Source organism: Homo sapiens, chromosome 2 (genome assembly GCF_000001405.40).
Source record: "Homo sapiens chromosome 2, GRCh38.p14 Primary Assembly".
In the NCBI taxonomy this organism is placed as follows: Eukaryota; Metazoa; Chordata; class Mammalia; order Primates; family Hominidae; genus Homo; species Homo sapiens.
The window spans coordinates 16,557,359-16,583,129 of record NC_000002.12 but is presented as its reverse complement, the minus strand read 5'-3'; the positions used below and the strand labels follow the sequence as shown (position 1 = coordinate 16,583,129).

At 39.2% G+C, this 25,771-nt stretch overlaps 1 protein-coding gene across 10 annotated transcripts in view; it reads left to right on the top strand.

Moving 5' to 3' along the window:
- Positions 1-25,771, top strand: part of CYRIA (CYFIP related Rac1 interactor A) — a 116,376-nt gene that overhangs the window by 82,705 nt on the left and 7,900 nt on the right. For all 10 annotated transcript variants that reach the window (XM_024453163.2, XM_047445942.1, NM_030797.4 and 7 more), the window contains 7 exons: positions 17,363-17,484; positions 19,036-19,141; positions 20,989-21,125; positions 21,597-21,674; positions 21,853-21,969; positions 22,061-22,140; positions 23,544-23,670. In XM_024453163.2, the coding sequence (XP_024308931.1) occupies positions 17,363-17,484; positions 19,036-19,141; positions 20,989-21,125; positions 21,597-21,674; positions 21,853-21,969; positions 22,061-22,140; positions 23,544-23,670 (767 nt within the window). The remainder of the gene's footprint in view (positions 1-17,362; positions 17,485-19,035; positions 19,142-20,988; positions 21,126-21,596; positions 21,675-21,852; positions 21,970-22,060; positions 22,141-23,543; positions 23,671-25,771) is intronic.

Here is a 25,771-nt window from a genome sequence, read left to right as displayed (position 1 = left end):
GAAAAGATGTTCACTATCATTAGTCATGAAGGAAATGCAAATCAAAATGACAGTGAGATTGAATTTCACACCCACTAGGACTGTTCTAATCAAAAAGAGAGATAATAAGGTGTTAGTGAGGATGTGAAAAAAATGGGATTATCATACACCACTGGTAGGAATGTAAAATAGTACATCTGCTTTGGAAAACAGTCTGGAAATTCTTCAAAAGTTTAAACATAAAGCTACCATATGATCCAGCTATTCCACTCCTAGATGTATATGCAAGAAAAGTGAAAATATATGTCCACACAAGAATTTGTACATTAATGTTCATAGCAGCATTATTTATAATAGCTGAAAAGTGGGAACAACCCAAATGCCCATCAGCTGACGAATGGGCAAATGAAATGTTATATCAATTCAATGCAATATTATTGATCAATTAAAAAAATGAAGTACTGATAGGTGATATGACATGGATGAACCTTGAAATCATTGTGCTAAGTGAAAGAAGCTAGTTACAAAGACCACACACTGTTGATTTCATCTATATGAAATGTCTAGAATAGGCAAATTTGTCGAGACAGAAAGATTAATTGTCTAGGCCCGGAGGTGGGGAGAGGGTTGGAGAGAAATGAGGAGTGGCTGCTAATGGGCACAACGTCTTTTTGGGGTGTTAATGAAAATGTTCTAAAACTGATTGTAATGATGGTTGCACAACACTAAGAATATATTTTAAACTGTTTAATTATGCACTTTAAATGGGCAAATCGTATGGCACGTGAATTAAATCTCAACAAAGTTGTAAATTTTTTTTGTTTTTAAAAAAGGATTCTTTTGGAAGATCCAATTCTTTTCTTCTGCCTAATGCTGACATTATTCCGTCATCACAGAATATATTATTTCTCTTCTTTTCCTGGTAACTCCACTTTTTAAATTGTATTTTCATTGGGACATAATTTACATGCACTAAGATGCACTGATCTTAAGTTCACATTTTAGTTGGTTTTGACAAATGCCACACTCTATCAAGACACAGGATATTCATGTCACTCCAGAAAGTTCCATCAAGCCCCTTCCCAGGCAGTCTACCTACCAGACCCCAAAAACAGCTACTGATCAGGTCTGACTTACATTGTAAAAGTCTAATTTAGCTAATCTATAAGTTTTTTAAGTTCATATAAATAGAATCATACAGAATATGCTTTTTTGTATGTTTTTCACTCAATATAATGTTTTTGACATCCAGCCATGTCATTACATGTATCAATAGTTTATTTCCTTTTTGTTATTGAATACTCTTCTGTTGTATGACAATTCGTTTTCATTTTCCTGTTGATGATCATATGGGCTATTTCCCGTTTGGGGCTATAATTAGTAATTGTGCTATAAACATTCTTGTAGAATATTTGTGGGCATTATATTCCTTGGGTAAATACCTAGGAGTGGAATTCCTCGGTGATAGAGTAGTTCTATGTAACTTTTCAAGAAACCAAAGCAACACAATATACCCTTGTAAAAAACTTATACATAGCATATGTACCCACTGGATCTAAAATAAAAATTAAAATAATAATAAACATGCTTATACATACAAAAAAAAAAGAAACTGTGAAACAGCTTTCCAAATGAGATGTGCTATTTTACATTCCTGCCAATAACTAAGCAACTCCAAGTGTTCCACATCTTCTCCAACATTTGGTATTGTCAGTCATTTTCCTGTTAGCTGTTCTAGCAGTGGTGGGGTAGCATCCCATGGTGTTTTTAATTTGCATTTCCATAATAACTGACAGTGTTGAGCTCTTTTTCATGTGCTTATTGTATAGTTGCTTATCTATTTAAGAAAATATCTTGTCATGTCTTTTGCCTAGTTTTAATTAGGTTGTTCGTCTTTGTATTGGTAAATTGTAGGAATTCTTTATTGTACTTTGTATACATGTGTTTTGTAAGCTATATCTTGCAAATATTTTTACCTAGTAGGCTTACCTACTTATTTTCTTATTGATATCTTTTCATGAATGGAAGTTTCAAATTTTGATGAAGTACAGTTTATAATTTTTAAATTTTATGCTAAGCACTTTCTGTATTCTAAGAAATTATGACCTATACCAAGGTCACAAAGATATTTTGCTTTGTTTTCTTCTGAAAGCTGTATTGTTTTAAGCTTTACATTTAGATCAGTGACTGATCTTCAACTAATTTTTGCATATGTTGTGAGAAAGGTATTAGGTTTATTATTTTTTCATAGTCCATAATATTGTAGTAGCACAGGTGGATTGCTTTAATGTCCATTTTGTAAATTTGCTAATTGTAATATGTGTGATATGGGCTACTTCAGGACTCTCTGTTTTCTCTGATTACTCTATTGATCTACCTTCTCACCAATTAATACCAAATATAACAAACAATAGGTCTTAGAGTCAAGAAAGAGTAAGTCTTTTAACTCTTTTGGAAGACTGTTTTGGCTATTCTAACTCCTTTACTTTTCTAAGTAAATTTTCTAATTAGTCCTTAGTTTCTACAATAAAAAATTCTACTGGGATATTGATTATAATTGCATCAAATCTATGGAACAATTAGGGGAGAATTGCCATGTGTGTAATATTGATTTTTCCTATCTGTGAATATAGCACATCTTTCCTTTTATTTATATATCATTTAATTTTACTCATTAATAGTTTACAGTTTTTAATATAAAAGTGCTGCCCATCTTTTGTCAAATATACCCCTAAGCATTTTATATTTTGATTATACCAGCTTTTTTATGGTTAGTGTTTAACATGGTATATATTTTCCCATTCTTTTGCTTTCATCCGTTTATGTCTTTATCAATATAGTGTGTTTCTTGTAAACAACATATAGCTGGTCCTAGCTTTTTCATCCAGGCTGATAATATCTGCCTTTTAGGCTGAGCACAGTGGCTCATACCACCATACCTTTGGGAGGCTGAGGCTGGCAGATTGCTTGAGCTCAGGAGTTCAAGGCCAGTCTGGGCAACAAAGCGAGACCTCATCTCTACAAAAAATACAAAAATTAATTAGGCATGGTGGCATGCACCTGTAGTCCCAGCTACTCAGGAGGCTGAGGCAGGAGGATTGCTCGAGGCCAGGAGGTGGAGGCTGCAGTGATCTGAGATCACACCACTGCAGTTCAGTCTGGATGCTAGAGTGAGACCCTGTCTCAAAAAAAAAAAAACTTCCTTTTAATTGAATACTTAGTCCATTTACATTTAATTAATGTTTACATATATGTTTAATTAATGTTTGTATTTGAGCTTAGTATTTGAGTCAATACAATTAATTATTGTATTGCATTAATCAATGTTTATATTTGAGTCTATCTTGGTGTTATGTCTATTTGTCATATTTGCCTTCTTTTTTTCTTCATGTTTTTCTGATAAATCAAACTGTTTGGGATACTCTATTTTGGTACTGTATTTTGTCTTTTCTGTTGACTTTTTAGTTGTGTCACTTTTTGCTTGCTTTAGAGATTATAATATAGACGATTGTGATCTGCCTTCAAAATCTATTCTTTACATAGTAAAGAAATTAAGAACTTATCACAGTATACCTGCAAATTAACACCTTTTCACTTTGTGCTTTTGTTATGTATTTTGCTTCTATATATGCCATAAGCTTCTCAATGAAATGTGTTTTTTTATTTTAAATTGTCAATTATCATTTAAGAGAGAGAGAGAGCGAGTGTGTGTGTGTGTGTGTGTGTGTGTGCATGTGCATGTGATTTTAATAAGGCCTTCATATTTACTTGCATATGTATTTACTTGTTCTGGTGTTCTTCATTCCTTCTCACATAACAAGGTCTCTCTGGTGTCATTTTATCCAAGTCTAAAAAACTTATTTTAATGTTTCTTTTAGTTCAAGTCTATTAGAAACAAATTCTTTGAGCTTTTATCTGTCTAAATATATTGCTATCTAACTTTCATTTTTAAAGGATACTTACATAGAGTTCTAGATCCACAGGTTTGGGGGATTTTGGAGTTGCAGTTATTGTTTGCTTTGTTTTTCTTAAAGCACTTGAAAGAAGTGATCCCATTGTCTTCTGGCTTTCATTGTTTCTGATGAGAAGCCATTTTTATCATTGCTCCCCTAGATGTAATATGCTTTTCTCTGGCTGCTGTCAATAATTTATCTTTATTTTTGTTTTGTAGTAGTTTCACTATGATGTGCCTGGGTATGTTTTCTTTGTAATTATCCTGTTTATGGTTCTCTAAGTTTCCTGGATCTATGAATTAATACCTGTCATTAATTTTGAACATTCTTGCTTATTATCTTTTCAAATGTCTTTTTCTGTTTTCTTCTTCTTCTTCTTCTTCTGGGACACCAATTATATAAGTAAGGTGATTTGACATTGCTTCACAGATCTCAGATACTCTGTTCTATTTTTTAAATTCTTTTTTTCTTTGTATACAGTTTGTATAATTTTTATTGGTCTGTCTTCAAGTTTACTGATACTTTCTACTAATGATAAATGTATCAAGGAGCTTATCATTAGTAGAAACCATCTAATGTGGAATTTTTCATTTTTAGCATTTCCCTTTTCAATGGCAAAAACAGCAATTACTTTTGCACCAACCTAATAAATAGTCTCAAAGGATTTTCTGAAATTTTCCATTTTTACCATACATTATTCAACATTATAGATTCTTTAACATATTTTTATAGTTATTTTAGGATCCTCGTCTGTACATTTCAACCTCTGGACTATCTCTAGACTCTATTATTAATCTTTACTTTTCTGGTGATATTTTCTTGCTTTGTGTTTGTTAATTTTTTTCCTTTGCTTTTTTTGAACAAATGCCAGGCAGCAGAACAGTGATGACTGATGTGAATAATACGTGCACTCAGAAAATCACATGCCTTTTCTTCTGTCAGTCCACTAGTGGGGTTGAGTCCATCCAATCTGGATCTGGGCTACACTGTTGCTTGTTATACGTGGTTCACTGTAAATTTCAGATTTGAGGGAAGGATCAAAGCAGGCCCTTTACCAGAGCTGGGGATCTGAAGAGTTTGTCTCAGTTTTCCTGTCACATCTTCAGGCTTCAGAAGGCCCTCCAGAACACCTGATTCTCAGGATGGCGTTTCTCAACCTCCTTGGCCTCACCAGGCAGACAGTTGTTCTTTACTTACTGGAGAGTGGCTGGTGGCTTTCTCTTCATTTTTCTGCTCTGTCTACCACAGCAGGCCTGGCATGGTGGGCCCTAGAGGGCACCTTCCCAATGCTCCTCCCCTCCCGCAGTCATAGATGGCCACACTTCACCCTTAGATAAGACTGAGAGTGTAGGAGCATTTCTCTTGTGTATCTTCCCCTGACCCAGAGGGTTTCTGTCTTAAAATCTTTTTTCCTTTCTTGTTCTCAACTTCTTTTGTTAGCACTTGGTGAAGGTTCATGGAAGAGACTTTGCAGGCTGACATAGACTGTCCTTCTGCCTGGAGCTCCCAGGGCCTCTCAGCTTTCATGACACTTCACACTCTTCTTTTTACAGTGTGTGAAGATGTCAGCTATTTTCTTGTTACCTGCATTTATGGCAGCTTTCTCCTTTTACCATTTCTCTGTCAAACTTGAAATCACCTGTGGTGTCATATCTCCTAGGAAAGTCTTGTCACCTTATGGATTATAATTCATTAAAGACTTTTGCAACCTCAACTTTCTTATAGTCAAAAATAACAAGGATTTTGTAGAGTATCTAACTTGTTTTCTTGTTAGGGTGAGCGCAATATTCTTTGTGAATTTTACTTCTTTTTAAAAAATATGAAAATGTGTTACATATTTATATCTAAATGTGTTACAGATATATATCTAAATTAACATTATTTTGTATCATCTAATATATAGTATGTATAGATATTTCTCTGATTTTCTCAAATGGCATTTAATAGGTTTTTTTACCTTAATAAGAATTGAAATGAATTCACAAAATATATTGGATTATGTTTCTTTTCTTTTTTATTATGGTAAGAAGACTTACCATGAGATCTACCCTCTGATCAGATTTTAAGTGTATAATACAGTATTTTTAACTGTAGGCAAGTTGTTGTAGCATAGATCTCTAGAACTTATTTATCTTGCATAATGGAAACTTTATACCCATTGATTAGCAACTACTCATTTTCCCTTCCCCATGCCCAGGAAACCACCATTCCACTCTCTGTTTCTATGACTTTGACTCCTTGAAGTACCTCATGTAAGTGGAATCATGCAGTTTGTGTTTTGCTGTTACTTGTTTATTTTGCTTAGCATAATATCCTCAAGGTTCATTCACGTTGTTGCATATGGCAGGATTTCCTTCTTTTTTTAAGACTGAATAATATTCCATTGTATGTATAGTCTACATTTCCTTTATCTGTTTATTTTAAATGGAAACAACTCAATACTTTTGGTTCAATTTTTCACATTATCATAAAAGGGGTATTCTACGTGCTAAGCTTCTGCTAGTCGTGGTGTGAATAGCTGCAAGTTTACACTCTACTGGAGGAGGCAGACATAATGACCAACATCAATAATGCAATATTGGTAAATGCTGTAGCAGGGACACGACCTGTGCTCCAGGATTCATAGGAGAGAATAACTAATTTGATCTGAGAAAAGATAGAAGAGACAGTTGCAGGAGGACAATCCTGGGAAGATTTCCAAGACAGGGTGAAATAATAGCTTCGACGATGCCATATTTTACATCTTCCTTTCTGAGAAACTTTCTTAGCTTCCACTTACGTTGTTCCTGAAAAAAGTCTCTATATTCAATGCCATTTAGCTCTCACTGCATGATGACTTTTATTATACTGTTTTACTAAATTGTTACTGATAGTTCGTAACTTTCACTTTAGGATGTCAGTCTTATTTTATTAATTACTTCATCCTCCGCATCACCTGTCACTGTGGTAGGCATATAACAAGTACCCAATAAATGCTTTCTGAATCTAATGATCCTGTCCTCACCCTCCTAAGGTCCTTGAGGACAGGAACTATATCGTTGAATCCATATCTCCCAAAAGTGTCTGGCATCATTGGCACTTAATAGGCTGTATTAGTCTACTTTCATGCTGCTTATAAAGACATACCCGAGATTGGGCAATTTACAAAAGAAAAAAGTTTAATGGACTTACAGTTCCATTTGGCTAGGGAGGCCTCACAATTATGACAGAGGGCAAGGAGGAGCAAGTCATGTCTCTTACCTGGATGGCAGCAGGCAAAGAGAGAGAGCTTGTGCAGGGGAACTGCTCTTTATTTATTTATTTATTTATTTATTTATTTTATTTATTTATTTTTATTTTTTTGAGATGGAGTCTCGCTCTGTGGCCCAGGTGGGAGTGCAGTGGCGCAATCTCGGCTCACTGCAAGCTCCGCCTCCTGGGTTCACGCCATTCTCCTGCGTCAGCCTCCCGAGTAGCTGGGACTACAGGCGCCCGCCATCACGCCCGGCTAATTTTTTTGTATTTTTAGTAGAGACGGGGTTTCACCGTGTTAGCCAGGATGGTCTCAATCTCCTGACCTCGTGATCCGCCCGCCTCGGCCTCCCAAAGTGCTGGGATTACAAGCATGAGCCACCGCGCCCGGCCGGGAACTGCTCTTTATAAAACCATCAGATCTTGTGAGACTTTTTCACTATCACAAGAACAGCCTAGGAAAGACTTACCCCCATGATTTAGTTACCTCCCGCTAGGTCCCTCCCACAACATGTGGGAATTCAAGATGAGATTTGGGTGGGGACACAGCCAAATCATATTATTCTGCCTCTGGCCCTTCCCAAATCTCATGTCCTCACATTTCAAAATCAGTCATGCCTTACCAACAGTCCCCCAAAGTCTTAACTCATTTCAGCATTAACTCAAAAGTCCAAAGACCAAAGTCTCATCTGGGATAAGGCAAGTCCCTTCCACCTATGAGCCTGTAAAATCAAAAGCAAGTTAGTTACTTCCTAGATACAACAGGGGTACAGGCATTGGGTAAATACAGTTCCAAATGGGAGAAATTGGCCAAAACAGAGGGGCTACAACATGATCTCTTTTGACTCCATGTCTCACATCCAGGTCACACTGATGCAAGAGGTGGGCTCCCAAGGCCTTGGGCATCTCTGCGCCTTTAGCTTTGCAGGGTATAGCACCCTTCCTGGCTACTTTCACAGGCTGGTGTTGAGTGTCTGTGGTTTTCCAGGCACACAGTGTAAACTCTTGGTGGATCTACCATTCTGGGGTCTGGAGGATGGTGGCCCTCTTCTCACAGCTTCACTAGGCAGCACCCCAGTGGGGACTCTGTGTGGGGGTACCCGTCCCACATTTCACTTCTGCACTGCCCTAGCAGAGGTTCTCCATGAGTGCCCCACCCCTGCAGCAGATTTCTGCCTGGACATCCAGGCATTTTCATACATCTTCTGAAATCTGGAGATTCCCAAACCTCAGTTTTTGATTTCTGTGTACCTGCAGACTCAGCACCACATGTGAGCCACCATGGCTTGGGACTTGCACCCTCTGAAGCCACAGCCTGAACTGTACCTTGGTACCTTTTAGTCACAGCTAGAGAAACTGGGATGCAGGGAACCAAGTCCCTAGACTGCACACAGCAGAGGGACCATGGGCCTGGCCCGCAAAACCATTTTTTCCTCCTAGGCTTCCAGGCCTGTAATGGGAAAGTTCTCTGACATACCCTGGAGACATTTTCCCCATTGTTGTCTTGGCAATTAACATTTGGCTCTTAGTAACTTATGCATATTTCTGCAGCCCTCTTGAATTTCTCCTCAGACAATGGGATTTTCTTTTCTATCACGTTGTCAGGCTGCACATTTTCCAAACTTTTATGCTCTGTTTTCCATTTAAAACTGAATGTCTTTAGCAGCTCCCAAATCACATCTTGAATGCTTTGCTGCTTAGAAATTTCTTCCACCAGATACCCTAAATCATCTCTCTCAAGTTCAAAATTCCATAAATCTCTGGGGCAGGGGCAAAATGCTGCCAGCCTTTTTGCTAAAACATAACAAGAGTCACCTTTCCTCCAGTTCCCAACAAGTTTTTCATCTCCACCTGAGACCACCTCAGCCTGGATTTCATTGTGCATATCATTATCAGCATTTTGGTCAAAGCTATTCAGCAAGTCTCTAGGGAGTTCTAAACTTTTCCACATTTTCCTGTCTTCTGAGTCCTCCAAACTGTTCCAACCTCTGTCTGTTATCAAGTTCCAAAGTTGCTTCCACATTTTCAGTTATCTTTTCATCTGCACTGCACTGTACTGGTACCAATTTACCGTATTAGTTCATTTTCACGAGCTACTGATAAAGGCATACCTGAGACTGGGCAATTTACAAAAGAAAGAGGTTTAATGGACTTACAGTTCCACATGGCTAGAGAGGCCTCACAATTATGGCAGAAGGCAAAGAGGAGCAAGTCACTTCTTACGTGGATGGCAGCAGACAAAGAGAGAGAGTTGTGCAGGGGAACTCCTCTTTATAAAACCATCAGATCTCATGAGACTTATTCATTATCACAAGAATAGCATGGGAAAGACTTGCTCCCATGATTCGATTATCTCCCACTGGGTCCCTCCCACAACACGTGGGAAATCAAAATGAGATTTGGGTGGGGACACAGCCAAACCATATCATAGGTGCTTGATAAATGTGCTTCATTGATTTTCCTATTATCTCATAACATTCTACTCTCTGTCTTCAATTCTGGATTTTATCTTTCTCTCATACCTTGGCTGGGTACTACTTTGGAAATGTAGAATATTTGATCAATGTGTTAGAATTAACTGCAGGGAGAAGTCAGTCTGTTAGTGCCAAGAATCAGTCGTCCGGTGGTTAATCACCAACTGTCTGAGACACTGTCAGGGATCAAGCCTTGGTAGTTTTCTTCTGCAAATGTATGTTTGTCTCCTCATTGTTGTACACATCCCTGAAGGGAGAATTTAGATGGCATCTTATGCTTATATTATTCTGTGTCTTATCCAGTGTCCAGCCTAGGGCTGGGCATGAAATGTAAGCTGAGGAACACTGGCTTTGATTGACAGTCACCAATGAAGAAACTATATGCAGAACATCTCTTGCATTCCTCGGGCAGAAACGGCAGTAGTGGGGTGTGGGTTCTTAGTGTGTCAGGGGGCCTGGAGGGATGAAATATAGCACATAAATATAGGGACATTGGAAGAACATGATCTCTTGTTCAAGAAGCTTATAATTTTGTTGAGGAGATAAGATGTAAGCACATGGAAGAGACAGTAGTGCAGGTAGTAGGGAAGAAGTCTGTAACAGAGCAGAGAGTAAGTGATATGCTAGCCAGAAGTACAAGTTCTGGATTTGACTAAAGAAATGTTTCTTGAAGACAGTGGCTGAAAAAAATGGTTTTCTTGCAAGACAAACTCACATTAATTAACATAATAGGAATGCCAAGATCAGTAATGGATGTGGTGGGGGCTGGGGTGTAAAGAAAGAAATTCTAAAGTCTTCAAATCATTGTACTCTTAAAAATACTCTGACTATGTTGACCTATTCAGAATATAGACTCCTACTCTTTAAAACAAGGGTGTTGAGTCAGATCAGCCTATCATCTGGGATCGTTGCTGTTGTTGCTAACTCAGACCACTCCCTGCCACTATTGGTTTCTTCTTTCATCTGTTCTTCTCTGCTGCCCTCCCATCTGCTAAGCTGTTCAGAGGAGGCTTGATAATCTTGGAAGAAGAGGGGAAGTATCAGATGTCTTTTTGTCTAGTATCCTCATTTTACAAAAGAAAACAAACAAACAAAAACAGAACATACCTGGGAAGCAGTTTTTTGATGGCAATACAAAGATTCCGTGACAAAAAAAAAAAAATTCATTTTTTGGCACTTTTGCTTTTTAAGTGCTTTAAATCTATTCCATCATCTTCATTATGACCCTGCAGGTAGGGAGGAGACAGGCTATTCTTAGCTTCCCTCTCTTTTAACAAGAATGAATCTGGACCCAGAGAGATTACTTGGCTTGCCCTGAGGTCTAATATTGAGTGGCAGTGAAACCTGGTCTCAAAAATGCCATCCTTGGACTGCTCCCATCACAGGGTCCCACTGCATGTGAAGAAAATAGACAGCCTGCAGGAACTTTGACCCTCCTACTCTTTTCAGTCCTAATGTGATTGTTCTATAGAAAAGGGCTTCGGGCCCTGGTGTAAGATGACTAATGTCCTCTAAGAGTAAATATGCCGGCCCTGTCACACATATTTGCTGGCAGACCTTTTCCATTTTATTCTGTTTTCATAAACAGTTAGTATTGTGCTATAAATCACTTCCATTTTACATCCCCACATATTAATAATAGATAATTATTTATGCTTCTTAGTTTAGCCTGAAGGGGAAAGAGATTGGAGGAGAGAGGAAGTGGGTGGGAAAGAAGGGCAGAATTTAATTTACAGCTTTGGCGAATCCATTTTGCTGTACTTTTTTTCAGTGTTTATACAACAGTCATGGGGCACAGAGATAGCTATATATCCTATTGATGAAATGCCAGGGCATCTTTCAAAACCAAAGACATCTCTATGTAAATGGTGTTTTCTACTCACATTATCTTAGTTTAGTTTGATTCTCTGTCAAATTGTCCATACAGTCCTAAACGGGTTGTTAGGAAAATGTGTATATGTTACTGGTGCATTTGAAGACAGTGTAAGTCCTTGGCCGATCTATAAAAATTAGAATACATGGATTTGATAGCCCTTCTCCAGTGCAAGCCCTGCTGTCGTGCCCTGTGGCAGGTTCACCGAAGACCTTCCCCAAAAACAAAGCACATAGCCACCTTCTTCTCCATTAGCATCAAGGAGTGCCGTGCATTGGTTTAAATAAATATCACTCTTCTCCACAATGAAATCTTCCACCCTGCCTCAGGTGACAGCAAAGTATTCACAGTTAATATTCACCAGCATTAACAAATTGAGCCCCTGCAAACAAAACTAATCCTGTTTAACTATCTTAATGTATAAGGTACTTATGCTATTGCAAATTCTAGACACTTTGAATTTAGTGAGTTCTTGACAACAAATGTATATGTGTGCAAGGTCGCAGGGCACTTGATACATTTTCAAACTTTCCACAGTAGCAAGTCCAGAACAGGACTTTAAATCATCCCCCCACATAATGTCCTGGATACACTTGTTCCAGGGCTCCTGGAAGTATTGGTTTCTGAAACTGCCCATGTAAATCACAGAGATTTTTAATAGCTTTATTGTTAGACAGGAGTAACTCCAGCTTTATGTAACCATTCTCCTCAATTTCCGTGAAATAATTGGCAATGGTTAGAAGCTTAGAATATGGTTCTTAGAAGGAACATTACCAAAGAAAACACTGGCTGCAACTAGAAATAAGGACCCATTTTCACCAGTAACATTGTTGGTGTGTGTGTGGTGGGGACTGTTTGTACCTTTCTTTGACTAAAGTTCAGTCTTTGTGTTAAAAATAGAAAAGCCAAGCACACAGTTCACAGCTCCTCTTCACTCAGCAGATGCTTTAAGGGGTTGCTGATAGCTTAAATTTAGTAACCTTTTCAATCACTAATTCTTCAGGGTTCCTTTCAAGATGTCTTTCCACGACATCTGAAAACACAATAAATTTCAAAAACATGTTCACCACTTGAATCTGAATATCGAGAAGGCCAAGTGTAAGACTCCAAAGCCTCTCAAAGGGATTTTCCAGATGGCAAAATGATAACAGCTTTCAGATTAGAAACGTAAACCTAAGTGCAGTTTTTCACTGTGTCAGACTCAACAAATACCCTATTAGTGTGTTAACCACACTGGTGAGACATTCAGGCCGTAGATCAATAATGGATGATTTGAGAACATGGATGTTAATGAAAGAGTGGATGGCCAATTTGACTGTAGGTAAATACCTACATCTTAATGGTAACCAGGAGAGATATAACTATACAAAAGCCATTTGAGTGCAGTGAGCTATGATGATACCACTGCACTCCAGCCTGGGTGACAGAGCCAGACCTTGTCATTTAAAAAAATAAAATAAAGTCATTTTGGGAGTAGAGACAGAGGAGAGGATCTAAACGTAATAGGACCTTTACTTACTACACTGCTTTCAAGTACCCAGCATTCTATCCCATCTTACCAATTTCTTCGTGTATTCATTGATTCATCACACTTTTATTGCCTGTCTCCAATGGCCTTCTCAAAAGATCTCAGAATTCAAAGACAAGCAGAAGAAAAATCACAAAACAGTGTGAGTAGTATATTTAAATTGTTCAACTGTTTGTTCAGCAAATTTTTCTTGAGCATCTACTATGTGCCAGGCCCTGTGCCAGATCCTAGAAATATAATGTCAAGTGAAACAGATATGACCAGAGTCCTACAGTCTAATGGATAAGATTTTCATTAATTAGTTCTGACTGTATGATTATTTAGCTGGGGGATGAAAATAGAATGAATCATGGACTTCCATAGGGATTTAGGCCAATGTCACATGTCACTGTGGGTCACACAGTTCTTTTCCCATTTGAAAAGAGAGACAGACAGACAGACTAGAGCTTCTCCCAGTTGTCACTCTCTTCCTTGAAAGCTGACACCACTTGTGATTTGAGTCCCCTGAGAATCTTATGGCACTCTGGCCCAGAAGGCAGGAACTGTGCTGCCCGTCTAATTATAGCTGGAAGAGGTGACTTCAGTTTCATGACAGGAAAGAAGGAAGAAATTGGACATCCAATAAAACCAACAAAATTTTGGATGAAAATGAGGCAACATATTTCTAAGCCTGGAGGAAAGATGGAAATGATGGAGTGGCTTTCTCCTACCGCATCCCACCACTGCTAAACCACATGAGAAATATTTCTAATAGGACACCAGGAAATCTGCCAAAAGAAACAGTTTCTTAGGGAGGCTGAGGACTGAGGGTCCTGTCTTATAGATCACCCCAGCTGCCAGGAGAGAATTACTGTAGGATGGAAGGTATTTGTTTACCACAGCCCCTGAAGTCCGCCTCCTCTGGGAGAGAAGTGGTACCAGCCCCCTGGTTACTCATGCAACTCTGTGGTCATATAAATGTCAGTGCTGATTTGTTGAAAGGTCCCTTCACCTGGGATGGAGAGCGCAGCTTGTTTGTCTCTAGTGCCAGTACCTTTTTCAGGCCACCCTATCAGAAACAGTCTTATTTTTGAAACAGTTAAGAGAGGCCTCTATTTTTAAAGACTGACTTGAAATCTTTCTTTTTTTCTGTTTAAGTAATCATCAACAGGATTTTTTTAAAAAAAATTTCCAGCTCTCCTCTCTGGCCCACTTAGTTTTAATTCTGTTTTGTCTAAAACTTATCAAGCGGTGATTTGCTAGGGTGGAGCCAGGTGACCGCTGAGATTAGAAGGCTTTCTGTTCTGGCCTCAGAGTGCCTTCTTCTTTCCCATACTATTTTATAAATATACTCAAATAGTCTTAGCCCTGAGAATCTTGGTCACTGACTATCTTGCTTTTCTTCTTCTCCAAATACATACATCTCTAGGAAACTGTCTTTGTTTAGCTTATGATTTTTCAAAAGGAGACAGGATTTGAATAGTCAGTGTTTTATTTTTATTTGTTTTCTAGGCTCGTTGCTTTGCATTTTTTCTTATGTTTTCTTCCCTGACACTTTCCTTACTCAGAAACTGCCAGGCTTACCCTGGAATTCTATTCTACCAGAACACTTTCTCCAGTTACGGGCCTCCTAGCTTGTGGATTTTTAGGTTTGTGTTTAAGACACTTGCATCACTTTGAGAAAAGTTTGAGAAAGCAGAAAAAGGTAAAATACAAAGTGATTAATATTGTGAGTAACATCATATCTGAGAAAACTTACCAAATGTTTTTGGGAAACACTGATAGGCCATAAAACCTGAAAAAGTTCAGGTTGAATACCCCTTATCCAAAAACGCTTAGGACCAGAAGTGTTTCAGATTTGGGTTTTTTTTTTTTTTTTTTTTTTCTGATTTTGAAATAGTTGCATTATACTTACCAGCTGAGCATCCCAAATCCAATAAGCTGAAATGCAAAATACTCCAGTGAGAATTTTCTTTGTTGCACCATGTGGGCATTTAAAAACATTTCAGATGTTGGAGCATTTCAGATTTTTGGATATGGGAAGCTCAACCTGTAATAAATGTCTTTTTCCCTTACTGTCTCCAGTAGATTGTTTTCTAACCTAGCAGGTTTGTTTGTTTGTTTGTTTCCCCAGCCTTGCTTTCTCCAGCTGCCAAGCCTTTGTCCAAGCTGTGCTCTCTTCATGAATATACTCCATTTCACCTTCCATTGCCCCAGCTCAAGTTATATCCCTTACATGTAACTGTTTCCACTCTTTCCAGACCACATTCATCTTCTCTTTCTCTGAGTCCTTGTGTACAGACATTCCAGTACCTCCTTACTTCCTAGTTGAAATGGTCTCATTCTTTGAATGTATAGTTTGCAAAGTTTCTGGATAACCTATGAGGACCTATGATCTTTTCTTCAAAGAGAATTGCCATGGCACTGATGATTTTCACTCTTCATTTCTTAGGAAACTCTACCAGTTTCTCAGGTCTTAGGCAGCAGGACCTGGTGAGTCACCTAGTCTAAAAATCTCCATGGGCTCCGGTCATGGAGAGTTTAGGTAACTGAAGCAGGAGCAGCCACCCCGCCTCAGTTCCTCACCGATCTCAGCATTTCTGAACACCAAGTCAGCATAGCCAGTGCCCCACTTCGCCGTCACTTATCTTGTGAATTCTGTCTTTTGTTTTTTTGTTTTGTTTCATTGTTGTTGTTGTTGTTGTTTTTTGAGATGGTGTCTCACCCTGTTGCCAGGCTGGAGTGCAGTGACATGATCTCAGTTCATTGCAACCTCTGCCTCCAGGATTCAAGCAATTCTCCTGCCTCAGCCTCCCAAGTAGCTGAGACTACAGGCATGCACCACCATGCCCAGCTAATTTTTGTATTTTTAGTAGAGACGGGGTTTCACCATGTTGGCCAGGTTGGCCTCGATCTCCTGACCTAGTGATCTGCCTGGCTCAGCCTCCCAAAATGCTGGGATTACAAGTGTGAGCCACTGCACCCAGCCCTGTCTTTTTTTTATCCCCAGAGAAACACTGGTAAACAACCCTCTTGCAGGATCAGCCCCTTGTACTCCCACGAAGATTAGTTAAAACTGAGATTTGATCTGGTGAGGGTTAGACCAGGTGTAAACTCGGCCTTCACCCTCTGTTAGTGAGGTCTGCTGCAAGCATGCTGTGCCTCAGGATCTGGATATTTGAAAACAGAGTTTGATAAGATAACATCTGTCCCCTCTCCATGAGCAGTGCCTTTGTTTTAGATGGAGAGATGAACTTCCCTACTAGGCCAGGGAGATAACCTATTGCATAGGAATTGCAAGATAAATAAAACCCAATCTTTACTACCTCTCCACCACCACCCACCAGCTCCCATGAAATGCTCACGGGAACAAGAATACATGCTAGCTCCGGGAAGGTAATCAAGTGAGAATTCACTGAAGAGCTCAAGGGTGCTTCTGTGACTGTTAGAATACTGTTTTCATTATGGAAGCTTCAGTGTGTCACTTGTTTTTGTGGGTAACAGTTATGGTCAAGACCAAAGATAAACAGAACATTTGTCTTTAACATGAACTCCCTGCACGTCTTTGCCAAACCTCCTGAACATGAGATCAGGTTCAATGAGAAGTGCTCTCTACATACCCATGTGTTCAGGAATGATATGCCTCTGTCGTGGTTTGAAGGATTTTAGTTATCCAGTTTTTAAGCATATTTTTAAATATAGAAATACAAGGCAGACTGTTTTTCCCATCTACACTCAGATTCACAGATTTTCAATCAAAGCAGAAATATTCAGTTGCTTCTCCTTTAAAAAGCAGACCCAATACAGAATTTCAGTTTTACAAGATGAAAGGAGTCATGGAGATGGAGTGTGGCGATGGTTGTACAACATTATGAATGTGTTTAATATCAATGAACAGTACACTTAAAAGTGGCTAAGATGGTGAACTTTATGTTATGTGTATTTAACCACAATAAAAATAGTAATTGAAAAAGTAATAAAATAATAAAAAGACCAAAACATGTGGACTCAAAAAGACAATGCTTATTTTTTCTATCACTCAGTGCCCTGTTTTACGTAGCAGGTGTGCAAAAAAATTGTTCCACATAAATAAGTGCCTATGATGACTCCTGTGTGCTTGTTTTATGACTATAAAAAGATCATTGACTATTTTAAACTGAGTAATGGGCAGAAGTTTCATCAGTTTTCCCTTCCTAGCATCCTAGCAGCTTATTAGGTTAAAGAGTAAATACCAGAGCAGCAGGAATATGATAGGATTGTCAAGCAGGTAAAACTGAATATCCATCCTCCTCCCAAGCTATTTGTAAACACCAGCACTCTGTCTCTCGGTTTCCCTGTTTCTTAGATGCTCAGCCTACAGAAGGAGAGAGAGAAATCTGGAACCAGATCAGCGCCGTCCTTCAGGATTCTGAGAGCATCCTTGCAGACCTGCAGGCTTACAAAGGCGCAGGCCCAGAGATCCGAGATGTATGTCAATGATCACGCTGAACTGACAACACCCGAGGAGGGGAAGGAAAACCACACATGCACACAGACACACACAGCAAGATTAAGTAATAGCTACAGTATTTCCTAGAGTACCAGGAAGAACAAGGAGGGTAATGTGTCCTTAAAAACAAAATGCATGGGCCGGCTGCGGTGGCTCACGCCTATAATCCCAGTACTTTGGGAGGCTGAGGCAGGTGGATCACCTGAGGTCAGGAGTTCAAGACCAGGCTGGCCAACATGGTGAAACCCAGACTCAACTAAAAATACAAAAAAATTAGCTGGGCATGGTGGCAGGTGCCTTTAATCCCTGCTACTTTGGGAGGCTGAAGCAGGAGAATCACTTGAACCTGGGAAGCAGAGGTTTCAGTGAGCTGAGGTTGCACATCGCACCATTGCACTCCAGCCTGGGCAACAAGAGTGAAACTCTGTCTCAAAAAAAAAAAAAAAAAGAGCATGAATCGCCCCTTTTATTCTAGTGCATTAATCTGAGCACACAGTGCTATAGATTAATATTACCCATTCTCTTCTCAAACACACAAGTGATATTGCAGGACTCACATTTAAACAATAATGTATCAATATGTTATTTCATTTAAGGGAAACAATGTAAAGTCTGTGAACAACAGTTGAAATATGAACCATGAAGTCTGGGTGGACATGTACTTTCTGGCATTTGGTAATTACTCAGGCAGGTTCCACCAGTGTGATACACAACAGCCAAAACCATCTTGCTTTCAGTTTGTCATCTCAAATGTCTTATGAGATTTTCTAAAATTAACAGAAAACAAAACAACAACAAAAACAAAAAAGAAAATCACCACTTTGACTTTTGCAACTTCGCAATACCTTAAAAGCAAGAAACTTCACACTCTTTTTATGTGAAAGCATTAGTTTTGTGGCAATACCAACACATACATATACGCATGCCAATACACACATACACACACACACATACGCACACATGCACACAGTACTGCCACTGCTCCCATCCTTCTGAAAAGAACACCACCACCGTCATAATCCTCAAGTTGCTGAAACTCAGACAAGGCGGAGTTTCTAAAAAAGTAACAGTCTAGTAAGAGGTGGTTTTTCTACTTAGGGGTCACCATTTAATTTATACAATTTAGGTAACATGACAAACTGGCAGGAATGCAATACCTATTAAAGATAAACAAAATGTCTACAGAATTTGCACTTTATAATGAGCAGAATTCCACTTTAGAGGAGTCTAATGGTGATGGAGAGGGCTGAGTTTCTTCCAATTTAGATGTGAATTTTTTGTATTCAAGATAATAGAAACAAGTAAGATGACACAGGATGTAATTGTAGAGCCATTTGCTGTATGTTCAAGTGTTAAAATTTCCATTCATATTGAGCATGTTGGAGGACCATCCGATGAACCGGTGTTGATTTAAGTAGTATACATCAGCAAAGTATAGCAAGGATTGTATTTTAAACTAAATCTTAGGGCATTTTGATGTGGAGCTTACCACTTCTTTTTAAACAGTCAGCTCTACTGTGTTTTTGCAGGCAATTCAAAATCCCAATGACATTCAGCTTCAAGAAAAAGCTTGGAATGCGGTGTGCCCTCTTGTTGTGAGGCTAAAGAGATTTTACGAGTTTTCCATTAGACTAGGTGAGTATGTATTTGTAGTTTTCATGGCCCACATACGGAGTTCTGTTTTGATGTTTGAGTAGGTAGTGGGAACAGCGTGGCATATTGGAAAATGTCCCACATCCATCCACTGTATCAAATGAGAGGCCATTTATGAGCAACAACTCTTGTCATTTTCATTTCTTTCAATCCACCACAAAGTTCTTCCCCTGAAGTTATTGGCCCATTTAGTGTGTCTCTACTAGTGAGTATCTTCTTGGTCCTGTTCTCATCTGTGTCCAATTCTTAATAGTTTTACTGTGGGCTGATCACATTTCTGAATAACAGAGAAGTTAAAAGATAACAGGTTACCTGCTCACCCAACAAATAACTTGCTTGTCTGGAGTCATATGATAAATTTAATAGAGTAAAATGCAAGAAAAACAATGTAACATTATTTCCTTAAGCTTTAAAAAACTGTGCAAGTACAGGATGGCTTTGTAGATGTTGAGTAATGCCAAATCTGGTTGGAAATAGGATCAATGTGACCAGCAATATGACAAAATCACTCCCCAGGGAGGATGCTTCATTGGTTAATACAGTATATCTTGAATGAAGAAGGCATGTTCTACTCTACTTTTGCCATAAAATGAGTGCCACAGATTAAGAGGAAAACAGAGAACTTGAAATACCTTGGGGGAGTAATGACCGTGATGTTAAGAGGACTAGAAGCTGAGACGAAGGGAAGTACTTGAATGAACCAAACCCGTTTTCCAAGAAGAGAGGGTTTCTGATGACTCTCAGATAGAAGAGAGTAAAAGAGAACATAGACTTCTTTCTATGTTTCCTCAAAGGGTTGACCCAGTGAATGGAAATTCTGAGGAGCCAAATTTTTGCTCAACAGAAGGAAAACAATTCCTTACGAGAGCAGGCCAAGGTAGAACTGGCTGCCTCAAAAGAGAGTGTGTTCTTACAGATGGAAATATCTCAAAAAGGCCAGAGATATCCCGGTAGAAATGCTATAAAAGTTATGTAAGAACTACATAGAGCAGATGTCTGCAAACTTTTCTGTAAAGGGCCAAATCATAAATATTTTAGAGTTGTGGGCCGTCCTGTCTTTTTTGCAACTACTCGCCTCTGCCACTCTCATGTAAAGGCAGCCCTAGTCATTACATAACAGAATGAGCACGTCTGTGTTTTAATAAAACTTGTGTTTATTTACAAAACACAAGTAATGGACCGGATTTGGCTGATGGGTCATACCTTGCCAATCCCTGCTTTAGAGGATTGGTTAAATGACTCTGTGCTATTAGAAATATATTGAAGAACAAGCTATAAGGGACTGTTTAGAGAAACAGACAAGTGGGAGTGGTGAAACTGTTGCAAGAAAAATAATGGAGGTAGATAGGGCAATGGGTTCATAGAAAAATATTCTTGGGATTAGGTTAGAATGTAGATGCAGAGAAAAGTCCAATAGGGGCAGAGGTCTTTCCCTGCAAAGCCGGTCATCTAACCCATGTGTTTAGGGCACCGTCTCATCTCATCCTGAATCATGAATGGCTGTCTCATGCACATGACCCAAAAACACATATCTGTGGTTTTCTAACAGTGTCAGAAATTGAGATTACTAAATATGTCCAGGTCCAGCTGAGCTTAGAAAGAAATTTACAAAACACTGTGGCCATGGGGGGTTTCCTCAGGGGAGGCTGCCTGCCCAGCCATGTGGGATTCCTTCTCTTCCTCGTCCACATGCAGCACACCTCACGTAGTTATCGGGAGAGACTCAAGCAGGTGATCTCCGAGATTGTCAACTGAGGCTGGGAATTGTGTTCTTTGAAGGACCTCTGTGGGCCACCTCCAACATATCTATTTATCCCTTTGATTTTCAGAAAAAGCTCTTCAGAGTTTATTGGAATCTCTGACTTGTCCACCCTACACACCAACCCAACACCTGGAAAGGGAACAGGCCCTGGCAAAGGAGTTTGCCGAAATTTTACATTTTACCCTTCGATTCGATGAGCTGAAGGTTAGGCCAAATGTGCTGTGAAAATTTAATAAACTTGTACTGAGTACCTACTGTTTACAGCTGTTCTGTTAGTGCTGTGGGGTGGGTGGGTAGAGAAATGAGTAAGATGTAATTCCTTCCCTAGAGAGACATATAATGTGGTGAGAATTTGCATTCCATGTGGTAAAAGTAATTTAAGATGATGATTTGTATATGGAAATTTTAAATCTGCCAAATGAAATCAGAGAAAACCTTTTCAAGTATCTGTTCCACATTGAGACCAAATATACTTTCCCTGAAATCTAGCCCACAGGGCATATTTTAAAATAATGAAGTTGTGGGTCCTTATTTCTAACCAGAAGTTGCTTTGACTCTTATGTAACAAAGAGAAGTCCTGGAGTATTTATAAAATCTAGTGTCTGGGCTCCTCCTAATGCATATACCCCATCTGATACTGAGAGATGACCTTCGCTCTTGTCCTCTGAATTTCAGATGAGGAACCCGGCTATTCAGAATGACTTCAGCTACTACAGAAGAACAATCAGTCGCAACCGCATCAACAACATGCACGTGAGTCCCTGGGTCGCCTTGACCTTTGCACCCTTCTCCATGACTCTTTTGATTTCTGCATCAGGCAGAGCACAGACAGAAGACAATGTCCTTGTCTGTAATTCAGTTCCAGAGAAAAGTATTTGGAGGATTTGGACTTTCTCTTTATAAATCCATCTTCTCTTCTTATTTTCATCAGCTAGACATTGAGAATGAAGTCAATAATGAGATGGCCAATCGAATGTCCCTCTTCTATGCAGAAGCCACGCCAATGCTGAAAACCCTTAGCAATGCCACAATGCACTTTGTCTCTGAAGTAAGTGAAGTTGAGCAACGAGGTGCTTTTTTCCTTAATTCCACACAAGAGCTGCAAGCAGGACTAATGTACATTTGTGTCTCCCATTTAGAACAAAACTCTGCCAATAGAGAACACCACAGACTGCCTCAGCACAATGACAAGTGTCTGTAAAGTCATGCTGGAAACTCCGTAAGTTAAATCAGAGATGTATTCGTGGTTGAGACTTCACCCAGCCAGTGTCTGTTAAGATGATGATGTTAATGATATGTAACATTTGGGTCAACACCCTAAAGTTTTCATGTATATTATCTGCTTTAATTTCACTAAGAACTCTGAGTGGTAGGTGTCACTATCACTACTGCATAGCTGAAGAAGCTGAGGCCCAAAGTGGTTGACTGACTTCCCAACAACTGCATAGCTTGTCAGGTGGCAGAACCAAGGCTCAGATCACAGATGCTGTAGAAGATCTGTAAGAACCAAATGGAGGGTGTGTTAAATGATGGGACATCATGATAAATATATTGTAGAGAAGATATAAAACCAGGAGTTGACATGATAAGACTGTTTCAAGAGTGAAAATGGAGGTCTCTCTCTTTCTCTCTCTCTCTGTCTCTTTTTGTACCTAAACTAGTTGCTACTTGTTAGATTTAAAAATGATTGAGAATATTGAGGATGAAGCAGCATGGTAATCTGTGCTCAAAATTCTGAGTTCCATTTATGGCTGTAGCCCCTACTATGCCTGTAAATAACTGGCCTGACTTCCTGAGCCTCGGGTTCCTCATCTAATGAAGTTCCCATAAGGCCATCTACTTTGCAGAGTCTTTAGGAAGACCAAAGCCATCAAGAGTACCTTATAAAATCTGATAGCCTGTTCAAATGTAAGATGGCATTAATTTCAAATATTTCACTTGTACCAAAGTTAAGATTTATTCCAAGGCAGAAATAGTAATCATCTTCATTGCAGAGCCAATTCATAATGAAATAGATGCTAAGAAAGCCTCTAGGAAAAAAGCCTCTAGAATTGGCCTGAATTATCTGAATCATCAGTGACCCTGTCAAGGTAAGTGAACAAAATTCAAACTCTACAAATACTCTTGGATGCTCAATGAATGATACATAGTTTTTTAAGGTATTTTTGCCAATCCAATACAATCTGCAGCCTGTGTTTTAACAAAGGAAGTTACTCCGACTGGAGACATGATAGCTGCTCCGTAGAAATGAGCCTAATTCTTTTTCTCTGTAATGAAGCCATTACTCTCTATAATCTTGGACAGCCAGAGGGACCTGCTATAAAATATTCAAGATTGATAGGTGGAGGAGTGAGGTACATGATGAGCTAGCCCGCTGAAGGGCAGATGAGAAGGGAATTTACTGCCCTTTAATTTACTTCATTTTCACACTGAATTGCTGGTTGAATAGATTCAAGGAGAATTATCATCATGGATTTCCTCAGAAGCATATTAACTGGTTGTTGCAGGTCTGGGATTGTTCCCAAGAGAGGATTGGAGGCATCTAAAGTATCCAGTTGTGGGGCCAAAGAACGCACATGTTCTGACAAGGAAGTGACGCCACTGCTGTTTCTTCTCTTGCAGGGAGTACAGAAGTAGGTTTACGAGTGAAGAGACCCTGATGTTCTGCATGAGGGTGATGGTGGGAGTCATCATCCTCTATGACCATGTCCACCCTGTGGGAGCTTTCTGCAAGACATCCAAGATCGATGTAAGAATAGTTGTGAAATGTGCTTTCCAAATAAGGGCCCATGAATGTTGCCAGACCTTGTTTTTCTTCCTCAGGCACCTCAGGACCTCTCCACTGAGAGTGATCTTTCTAAGATGCACAGCCCATCCTGGCAGCTGTCCTCACAGCAAGATGTCCAGGCTTTTTCTTGTGCTTAGGAAAAAACACTCAACCTCAAAAGCACAGCAGCAATGTTATGATGCTGATCCCCTCAGTCTCTAATGGAGCTGAGCAAATGAACAGTCACTTAGTTGCATGCAGTCCCTTCATTTACCCAGTGTGCTGTACAAATAGATGGTTTCTATTCTATGTGTGTCCTATTGTGAAGAGTTGGGAGATACTACATTACAAGACACTATGGTCAAATCCCAAATTACCTTTCACTTCCTCTCCCACCACTACCTGTTGCTCCACTCATGTCCCATGCCTTTCCTCATCATTTGGATATACGTGATATGTGTGAGTCCTTTCTCTTGCCGAGAGAGCCCTTCCTCTTCCTCTCTGATGGGTGGGTTCCTTTCAGACATGTTTCAAACATCGCCTCATCTAAGAACACATTTTCTGCATAGGACAAGCCTTCTTGCTTCTCTGGTCGCCAGAGCACTCACCGTTCTGTATTTTCTGACTCCCTCACAGACAATTTCTTGACAAGGACAGGGACCATAATCTATATACCTCATGTCTGCTCTATTGCCTCACACAGTACCTGGCACATAGTGGGTGGAACTCAACAGACACGCTGTAGGTGTTTTGATGGATGAATGAATGAATGAATGAAGATAATTGAAAACACATGATTTTGGTGCACAGTTGCTTTGCTGTTGATTGTGGCATAAAGCACACCTCCTCTTCATCCAGCACTTGCCTCTAGCACCAACCCAATAGTGTATTCCATGTACTCATTTAAAGCCTTTAAAGTGCAGAATAGCATCTCTTGGTAGTAACTTACTTACTCCAGTATAGCCGAGTCTGGGTGACACACTGTGTTCACTCATCTGCAGAGAACAGTGTCCTGATGCTCTGGCCCTATGCAAGAGAAAGTCTACATGCCCAGGAGGGCCATAGGTCTGAAGAATGCAAGATAATGTATCAATAAAAAATGTAACTTGGATTACTTATTTTAAGGTTCTGAGTTCGTAGTATAGTTAGTCATGTTTCTTCATAGACTCTTTATTATTTTTAATGTAATTATTTCTATGTACCAAGAAAATAAATATTTATGTGAAAAAAATTTTGACACTTAGAAAATCAAGACATAGTAAATTAAATATATCCTGTAATAACCTCACCATAGGCAGAGGATCACCGTTCATACAGCAGCATGCATGTGTACCTTCTTTTAGTATAGATGCTTGTGTGGACATGTGTGTGGATGTCCTTAACAAATTAGTACCCTGCTTTACGTGCTATTTTGAAACATATTTCATTTACATAAAAGTGTATCATGGGCATTTTTATACCAATAAATATTTTTACTGTATCCTTTGTGAGGCTTTAACATTTTCATACTATAGATTGAGTATAAATAACTCTGTAAATATTATTTGACTATGGGTTGAGTTCATTACCTGAGACTCATAAGATATTCTCATTACCATAGCCATTTGTTAACTTGTCACAGAGTCAACAATTAAAAATACACTGGGTAAAATTATGCCTTGTAGCCCTAATCTTTAAAAAGCTTGGCTTTATATGTTATTTACTGAGTCTTTCAGTTGAGGCTGTAAACAGTATATCATGTTAAGTCTTCACGCATAGTCTTGATGAAGTTTGCTTTTGTCCGTGGAGGTCAAAAGCACTACGTAAGGTTTGTTCATATGGATGTTTGCGTGTACCTCTAAGAAAGTTTCAGGCTTAATAAGCACGGTAAACCATTTGAGATGGGCCATTTTTTTTTTACGACATATAGGGTCTCCATTCAGATACTAGTCTGTTTCTAAGCCAGCAGTTATAGTCACTGGGCTCGTAAATCATTAGGGCATCAGCATCAACTGTGAAAACCCCAGGATCTCTTCGTGAGGGCCTGAGAGAGGCAGGCACTGTGTGTGTACTTACAAAGGGCATGCTTTGGAGTGCAGAATAG